Here is a 10,344-nt window from a genome sequence, read left to right on the forward strand (position 1 = left end):
TATTAGTTTTCTCTTTGCTTGTACCTGAAACCAGCAAGTCTCAGAGGCTTATGAAGGCCCTTGAGGTAGTATTTATCTATTGTTGTTGGTTATTCAGCGCCCAAGGGCCCCTCAGTTAGCGGATGATAAATGCTGTCAGGACTGAGTCCTTTCTTTCAAGAGAGCGAGTTCCCTTCTGTCCCAGGTTGTGTCTAGAAATGTTGTCTGGGAGCTAGGGCCTGGAATGGGGCCCTAATGACTCTGACTGGTGCCTTATCCTGCTGTGGCTGAGCTGGTATCCAAGATGCAAGACGAAGTCCTCCCTACTCTTCCCTCTTCTCTCCTCAAGCAGAAGGAAGTGGTCTGTTTTGGAGCTGTGAGCTGTGCCTCCAAGGGTTAGAAGAGGGGTTATGCCAGCACTCTTTTGACTGCCCCAGCTGCTGTCTCAGTTTGTCATGGGCCCATCTAGTCCACTATCTCTGGGCCTATTTCAGCCCTAGGACTCGCCTAAGAGTTGCAGTCATTTAGGCCTAGACTGCCTTTCAAGTTTACTTTGAGACCAAGAGCATTTTGGCCCTTGGTGGCAAGGTTTGCAGGAACTGAAGGTCAGACTGCTGGGATTGGCAATTCCCCTCTGGCTAAGGTTTAAATGCTCTTTCTGTGGGTGGGCATTAGCTGAGTTTGGTCTGGTTTTCCTTTCTGCTCTGGCAGAACAGCACTGAGTTCAATGCCTCACAGTTGTTGTGTTTTCCCTCCCCCAACCCCCAGAGATGCTCTCTGCACCATGCCAGTGCTGCTGGGGGTTGCAGAAGGGTAGTGTTGGCAATTCAGGACAGTTTTTGCTATTTCTTCAGTGCCTCTTTCAGTGATATGAAGTTTAAACCAGGTACTATAGGTACTATGAGTGCTCACCTGTTTTTGGTTCTTATGAAGGTGTTTTTTCTGTGTAGATAGCTGTCAACTTGTGTGTGTGTGTGTGTGTGTGTGTGTGTGTGTGTGTGTGTATAACAGGGGAGCTTTCTATTCTGCCACCTAAAGATGCCACCTAGTCTGCCATTTTGCTCTGCCTCCCAATTTGCATCTATTGAACCATCAGGGTGCAAGTGCTCTTCATGCATCCCTGGGATACATCCTAGTTGGTTATGATGAATGATCTTTTCAATATGCTGTTGAATTCGATTTGGTAGTATTTTGTTGAGGATTTTTGCATCAATGCTCATCATGGATATTGGCCTATAGTTTTCTTTCTGCAGCTCTTGGATAAAATGTTCTGTAAATAACTATTAGGCCTATACCAAAAAATAGAGGAGGATGGAATACTTCTAAACTTATTCTATGAGGCCAACACTACCCTGTTACCAAAAACAGACAAAGACACATTATAAAAAGAAAACTATAGACCAGTATGTCTGATGAATATTGATGCAAAAAATCCTCAAAAAAATACTAGCAAACCGAATTTAACAATACATTATGTTGCGGGAAGTCAGGGACCCCAAACGGAGGGACCGGCTGAAGCCATGGTAGAAGAACATGGATTGTGAAGATTTCATGGACATTTATTAGTTCCCCAAATTAATACTTTTATAATTTCTTATGCCTGTCTTTACTGCAATCTCTAAACATAAATTGTGAAGATTTCATGGACACTTATCACTTCCCCAATCAATACCCTTGTGATTTCCTAAGCCTGTCTTTACTTTAATCTCTTAATACTGTCATCTCATAAGCCGAGGAGGATGTATGTTGCCTCAGGACCATGTGATAATTGCATTAACTGCACAAATTGTAGAGCATGTGTGTTTAAACAATATGAAATCTGGGCACCTTGAAAAAAGAACAGGATAACAGCAATTGTTCAGGGAATAAGAGAGATAACCTTAAACTCTGACCGCCGGTGAGCCGGGCAGAACAGAGCCATATTTCTCTCCTTTCAAAAGCAAATGGGAGAAATATCACTGAATTCTTTTTCTCAGCAAGGAACATCCCTGGGAAAGAGAATACGCGCTTGGGGGTATAGGTCTATAGACGGCCCCCCTGGGCGTGCCTGTCTTTTATGGTCTGTAGACTGTAGGGGTGAAATAGACCCCAGTCTCCCATAGTGCTCCCAGGCTTATTAGGAAGAAGAAATTCCTGCCTAATAAATCTTGGTCAGACTGGTTGCTCTCAAAACCCTGTCGCCTGATAAGATGTTATCAATGACAATGGTGCCCGAAACTTCATTAGCAATTTTAATTTCACCCCGGTCCTGTGGTCCTGTGATCTCGCCCTGCCTCCACTTGCCTTGTGATATCCTATTACCTTGTGAAGTACTTGATGTCTGTGACCCACACCTATTTGCACACTCCCACCCCTTTTGAAAATCCCTAATAAAATCTTGCTGGTTTTTGTGGCTTGTGGGGCATCACGGAACCTACCGACATGTGATGTCTCCCCCGGATGCCCAGCTTTAAAATTTCTCTCTTTTGTACTCTGTCCCTTTATTTCTCAAGCCGGCCGATGCTTAGGGAAAATAGAAAAGAACCTATGTGAATATCGGGGCAGGTTCCCCAATAACATTAGGAAGATCATTCATCATGGCCAAGTGGGATTTATCACAGGGATGCAAGGACGGCTCAACACACGCAAATCAATCAGTGTGATACATCATATCAACAGAATGAAGGATAAAAACTGTATAATCCTTTCAATTGATGATGAAAAGCATTTGATAAAATTCAACATCCCTTCATGATAAAAATTCTCAAAACATGGGGATAGAAGAAACATACCTCAACACAATAAAAGTCATACATAGCAGACCCAATGCTACTCACACTGAATGGGGAAAAAACTAAAAGCCATTCCTCAAAGATTTGGAACAAACAAGGAGGATGCCCACTGTCACCACTGTTATGCAACATAGTACCAAAGTCCTAACTAGAGCAATCAGACAAAAGAAAGATATAAATGCATCCAAGTTGGAAAGGAAGGAGCCAAAATATCTTTGCTTGCAGATGATATGATCTTATATTTGAAAAAACCTGAAGACTCCACAAGAGAACTGTTAGAACTGATAAACAAATTCAATAAAGTTGCAGGATACAAATTCAACATACAAAAATCACTAGCATTTCTATGTGCCAACAGTGAACAATGTGAAAAAGAAATTTTTAAAAAGTAATCCCATTTACAATAGCCACATAGAATTTAAAAACTAGAAATTAAAGAAGTGAAAGATCTCTATACTGAAAACTGTACAACACTGATGAAGGAAATTGAAGAGGACACCAAAACATGGAAAAATATTCCACATTTATAAACTGGAAGAATCAATATTGTTAAAATATCCATACTACCCAGAGCAATCTATAGACTCAATGCAGTCCCTGTCAAAATACCAATGACATTCTTCACAGAAATAGATAAAAACAATCCTAAAATTTATGTGGAACCACAAAAAATCCCAAATAGCCAAAGCTATCCTAGAACAAAACTGGAGGAATCACATTACCTCACTTCAAATTACACTACAGAGCTATGGTAACCAAAACAGCATGATACAGGCATATAACAGACACATAGACAAATGTAACCAAATAGAGAACCCAGGAACAAATCCATACACCTACAGTGGACTCATTTTTGGTAAAGGTATCAATAACATACACTGGGGAAAAGACAGTCTCTTCAATAAATGGTGCTGGTGCTGGAAAACCTGGATATACGTATGCAAAAGAAAGAAACTAGACCCCTCTCTCTCACTATATGCAAAATTTAAATCAAAATGTATTAAAGACTGAAATCCAAGATCTGAAACTATGAAACTACTACAAGAAATCATTGGGGAAAATCTCCAGGACATTGATCTGGAGCTCAAACAACTCTATATAAATAAATCCAATAATCCAATTTTTTTAAATGAGCAAAAAATCTGAATAGTCATTTCTCAAAAGAAGACATACAAATGGCAAACAGGTGATCAACATCACTGATCATCAGAGAAATGCAAATCAAAACTACAATGAGAGATATTCTCACCCTAGTTAAAATGGCTTTTATCCAAATGATACACAATAATAAATGCTGGTGAGGATGTGGAGAAAAGGGAACCCTCATACAATTGGTGGGAATGTAAATTAGTACAACCACTGTGGAGAACAGTTTGGAGGTTCCTCAAAAAACTAAAAATTGAGCTGCCATATGACCCAGCAATCCCACTGCTAGGTATCTACCCAAAAGACAGAAAATCAGTATATGAAAAGAGATATCTACAAGCCCATGTTTATTGAAGCACTATTAACAATAGGCAAGAGTTGCAAGCAATCTAAGTGCCCAAAAAATGAATGGACAGAAAACATGTGATACATATACACAATGGAGTACTATTCAGCCATAAAAAAGGAAGAGGTCCTGTCATTTGCAACAACATGGATGGAACCAGAGGCAATTATATTATGTAAGATAAGCCAGGCACAGAAAGACAAACTTCGCATATTCTCACTTATTTGTGGGAGCTAAAAATTAAAGCAACTGAACTCATGGAGATAGAAGGATGGTTACCAGATGCTGGGAAGAGTAATGATAGAAGGGAGGTTGGGTTGGTTAACAGGTACAAAAAATAAATAGAATGAGCAAGATCTAGTATTTGACAGCACAACATGGTGACTATAGTCAACAATAATTTATTGTACATTGTAAAATAACTAAAAGAGTAGCATTGAATTGTTTGTAACACACACACAAAAAAAGGATAAATGGTTGAGGTGATGGATACCTCATTTACCCTAATGTGATTAATAGTGATTGTATGCTTGTATTAAAATATCTCATGTACCCCATAGATATATACGCCTACTATGTACGCACAAAATTTAAAAATTAAAAATTTTATTTTAAAAAGAAACCCTTAGCAGATCTTTTTGTTTGTTTGTTTGTTCTTTTTTGAGACAGAGTCTCATTCTGTCGCCCAGACTGGAGTGCAGTGGGGCAATCTTGGCCTTCTGGACTCAAGAGATTCTCCTGCCTTAGCCTCTCAAGTAGCTGGGATTACAGGTGCCTGCCACCACACCCGGCTAATTTTTGTATTTTTAGTAGAGATGGGGTTTCACCATGTTGGCCAGGATGGTCTCAAACTCCTGACTGCAGGTGATCCACCTGCCTCAGCCTCTCAAAGACCTGGGATTACAGGCATTAGCCACTACACTTGGTCTATCAGATCATTTTATGTGCTGTATTTTATACATAAGCACATCCCAAGATTCCATCTACCCCACAGCTATCCAGGAATTGTCTTTGGACCCACGGGAGAGGGAGGCTCTTATATTCAACAAGCTAGTAAACAAATTTCAAAAAGCCAGAATATTCATTTCAGAAGTAATTCAAGTACCCAGGTTGAAAATTGGAAGAGTAACAGTAAATGAGGTCAAGTGTATTTTTGACAAGAGATTCAAACATGCACATTGAAAATAAGGGCATTGCTGTAAACGAGGTAAAATACACATCTAAAAAGACTTAAATAAACATTTGTAATGAAGAGGAGTCACAGTATTCCATCAGTGAAACAACTAACATTTGATATTGAGTATTTACAGAAGAGTCAAGATTTGTTCCAGAGAATAAAACATTAAAGGTTCTTCTGTTAGTTGAAGTTTTAACTAAATATGTGACTTGGGGAGAGCTTTCTCTTCAGTCAGGCTCTGTAATCTCTCTCTCAGGAATGACTCCTCTAACAATGGCTAAAAGAAGAAGCCCCAAACACTCATGGTTTTTCATAATAAGAGTATTTTTGCAGAGAAAAACAAAATTATTCTTTTATATTAAAATATCACAAAAGGTTTCATAAACTCAAATATCAAAGGGCATAAAAACTCAGAAATAGAACCATTATCTCAGTGTGAAATTTAACAGCTTATTGCAATTGTTGAAGTCTAATAACATGTAAAAAAAAAAAAGGAAAAATGGTATAGTATGTTTCCAAATAGTATATATCATTGAATATAATGACACATTCTTTTGCAAAGGTCTTCCCTTCTCCCCTTCTCATAAGAATTTGTATATCATGCTTTCATCTTCTCTAAAGATCATGAAAACAAGAGTCCATTATCTGTGAATAAACATTTCTTGACCACCTCATTCTCCCCTAACGTTTCTTTATTTGCAGCCCATGAAATATTATTTGAGCAAAATTAAACATCTTCACAGAGGAAAAATCAGGATGCACAGCCTATTATAAGAGATACTTGTGTGTTATAAGAACTGGCGTAACGGCATCCTATTTCATAATGACTGTTCCCAGATATAGAAATTACAGGCATCTTTTACAACCAGGCAGAATTCTGACCATCTCAACTGTGTCTGTTTTCCATCTTTCAAGCTTGATATTTATTTCTTTGAAAAGGACAATGAGTGCCACGCTGGATTATACAACCCAGCTACATCTGTTCTCTCTTGTTTTCTAGATATTACATTCATTGTATTTCACAGCATGAGCCCCCAATCAAGATCCCGAATATTGCTTCATGATAAATGTCACAGATGAAAAAATGGACTGGCGCCAAAGTCATTAACACAGCTCTGGCCCATCTTCCTGAACAATGCCTCTCATTGCTCACATTTTTCCTTGAACAAAGGTACCATAGAAACTCCGTTTTCAAACCAAGAAACTTTCTGTCCGATATTTGTATAAATATGTCAGCTGTGAATTGGCTGATATGCCTTGCCTGAACACCACCCTATTTGGATTCATTCTGTTATTCTGCTTGTCATCCCTCTGTGCTCACCATCCCATAGCATTTCACTCTTCAGGGTAGGAAAGCACCTAATAGAGGGCATGTCACATGGAACTGCATGGCCTTGCCCCAGAGCTCTTTGATGAAGCAGGGTCTAAGGTGCCCACAGTATCAGCCAGAAGAGATTTTTTAGGCAACCTGCAACTTCAGCTAACCAGAATCCCCAGGATTTGGTGCATTCTAGAATCATAGACTTAGAAATCGTCAAGGGACCTTAGAACTCAGTTAATTGAACCCCTCATATTAGACATAAGCATACGGAGGCCCCGACAAGCTAAATGAGTTCTGTCGACTCACATAGCTGCTTGGTCACAGAGCAAAGACTTGAAATCAGAACTCAGCTTTCTGGCACGAGCTCTATGATGCCAAAAAATGCTTTGTTACTTACGCTAAATGGAAGCTTCTATTACATTTAAGAGCCAGATTTGTTTCCTGTTATTTTAGACTTTCAAAAACTTATCTCTAAAAACATTTATCAAAATATGAATTCAATTTTCATCCTTGTACGTTGTGCATTAACGATGATTGAACTTTTCTTTGATGATTGGTCTCCCTAAAAGTTGGCATTTTGTAGCCAAGTTATCGTAGTAGAGTGAGGTAAATGGAAATGTCAAAATTATAGGTGACTAGATAAAACCTATGTTGGCCTGAATGAAATTACTGCTTTAAATATATACTGATTATTTTCTTGTGGTTTTTCTTATTTTCCTTAAGCTTAAGGACAAAAATAATTTGAATTAGCTTCTGGTGTCACATAATCGAGGCTTTTCTGTATTTATCTTGGGCATCTAAAAAATAGGACAGATTGGCCAGGAGCGGTGGCTCATGCCTGTAATCCCAACATTTTGGGAGGCCAAGGTAGTAGATCACGAGGTCAGGAGTTCGAGACCAGCCTGGCCAACATGGTGAAACCCTGTCTCTACTAAAAATACAAAAATTAGCCAGGCATGGTGGCATGCACCTGTAATCCCAGCTACTTGGGAGGCTGAGGCAGGAGAATCACTTGAACCCGGGAGATGGAGCTTGCAGTGAGCCAAAATCACGCCACTGCACTCCAGCCTGGGAGACAGAGCAAGACTCCATCTTGAAAAAAAAAAATAGGATAGATCCTGATATAATGGTTAGCCCAATTTTTCAACTCCAATTTTTTCATATATTTCAACATAACTCATATTTGATTTAATCTAGCAGGTGTTTTTCAGTTCTTATGATATATGTTTGGGGAGAAGAAGAGAGAGATTGAAATAATCCAAGGTACAGGTGTTCTCTTCTATAATCTTTCCTTTCTTTTTCGCCCTACTGATATAGAATTTCTAAATTGTGCTTTTGGGTTTTTTTTTGTTATTACCCTTAAATCTTAAAATAGTGTCATCTTCCTGACAAAGACATTAATATGTTTCCGGACTATGACCCTTTCCCTCTTTTCTTAAAATATAAATCTCTTTCCTTTCAGATTAATTTATTCTTATTGTAATATCATCTTGAATAGTTCTTCTAATAATGGCTCATAGGTAGCAAACGCACTCTTAGTCTTTATAGGTCTGTAAATGTCTTTATTTCTCCCTCTCTCTTGAATGATAATGTAGCTAGATATTGAATTTCAGACTAACATTTATGTTCTCCTCAGACATGTGAAGATATTACTACACTGTCCTCTGGCATCTTTTATTATTTTATCTTATTAGTCTAATTTTCATTTTTTGAAGTAATCTGTTTTTCTCACTGACAACTGTTAAGATTTTCAATTTATCTACATCTTCAGTTTCATTACAATGTCCATAGATTTGAGTTATTTTTTATTTATTCTGCTTAGATCTCAAAATGCACTTTTATCTGAGGACATTGACTTTTTTAATACTGATAAATTTTCAGCTATTTTCTTTTCATATTTTTTCTGCCATTCCCTCTGTCTTATTTTGAAAGCCTATTAAACATATATTAAAGTCTCTCAATTATGCTTCCATATCCCTTATCTACTCTTTCATATTTTTAAAAAATCTTTCTATATCATGGTGCTATGTTCTGGGTACATTTTTCAATACTATCTTCTAATTAGCCAATTATTTTTCAACTGTATCCAGTCTTGAGTTTATACTAAATGTTGGAGTTTTTTTATTTGAATGATTGATTTTTTCATTTGCGAAATTTCAAAGTGGTTCTTCTTCATATCTACATGGTCTTTTTTCATTTCTGCCCAATCATGTTCATTATGTCCCTGCTTTATTTTTAAATGTTATGCTTTCTTTCACCTTGCTGGAGCTCCTAAATATACAAAAACTTTTTTAGACAATACTTTGTTTTTTTACAAGTAGAGTGAGTTTATTTTCTATTTGATAATTTTCATGGCTGTCACAACATTTATTTTCTGTGAGTGAGTTAAAAATTTGGTTCGGAGACTCATCTTGCATATGAGTATTTTTCCTCACTCTGTATGTTTACCTACCTCTGACTAGATGTCTGGTTATTGCTTCTATCAATTCTTCAAGGGACCCTCAGGCAATCCAACAGGACTCTTGATCCATAAAGAGGGCTATCATTGACAGGGTCACTGAGCTAGTTGGTGGTTTATCTCAAATCCTAGCTACTAGGCTGTATCAGGGATCTTTTGCTCCCCTAAGCACTCACTTATAGCTTTTGTGGACATTTTTACCGCAACAGAATTGGACACCTAGCTAACTCTCTCTACCTCTGGCCCTGGGGTTCAGAACTATTCTCTGCACACCACCTTTTATCTCTGTTCAATTTTGGGGCCAAGGTGGTGTTGATTTCAACATGGCTATAATAATAATAATAATAATAATAATAATAATAATAATAATAATAATTTCCATCTAACAAATATTTCCACTTTTCCTTCCAGGCACTGGTAAGATATTACCTCTCTACCTTAGACATGGCCTTGTGATTTGCTTTGGTAAATAAAATATGAGCAGATGTGGCATGTGTCTCCTTTAGGTAGAAGCTGTAAAGAGCTAGTACATGATTCATCATGCCCTCTTTCCTCTGCCATAGCAACTAGCAATGCCCCAAGTAGTAGTCCTACCATCCTCCTGGATGTCAAGGTGAGGATATCATGGAGCAAAGCCCTGAATCAACACACAATGGGAATATAGTGTGAACAAGAAATAAATCTTTCTGTTTTAAGCCACTGAGATTTTGGTGTTGTTTTCTATAGCAGCCTAACCTAGACCACCCAGACAGATGTATTTATGTCTTTTAAAATTTTTTCTTTTTAAATTTTAATATGTTACTGCTATGCGTTTTTAGCTAAGAGAAGTTTCAAAGCATGAATTTACAATGAAGCCTTGCTCTAAATCCAATCTAAGTCTTCAAGGAACTTTAAATAGTGTGGTATTAAACAAAATAAATGTGCATAAAATGTTAAATGAACAATGCAAGTATGTGTTTATGTGTCAAAGTATGTGGTTTCAGTAATAAGTGCTATAAAATGCTAACTTGAATATACTCAAGTTCTTCTTCACTTGTTTCCATTCTAAATGTATTTCTTATACTTGAAAAGCCTTTCAATCTCTTTTTTCTTTTCTGTAAAAAACCTATTATTAGTAAATTTATCACTTTTGTATTACTCAGAAAA

This window comes from Homo sapiens, chromosome 3 (genome assembly GCF_000001405.40).
Source record: "Homo sapiens chromosome 3, GRCh38.p14 Primary Assembly".
In the NCBI taxonomy this organism is placed as follows: Eukaryota; Metazoa; Chordata; class Mammalia; order Primates; family Hominidae; genus Homo; species Homo sapiens.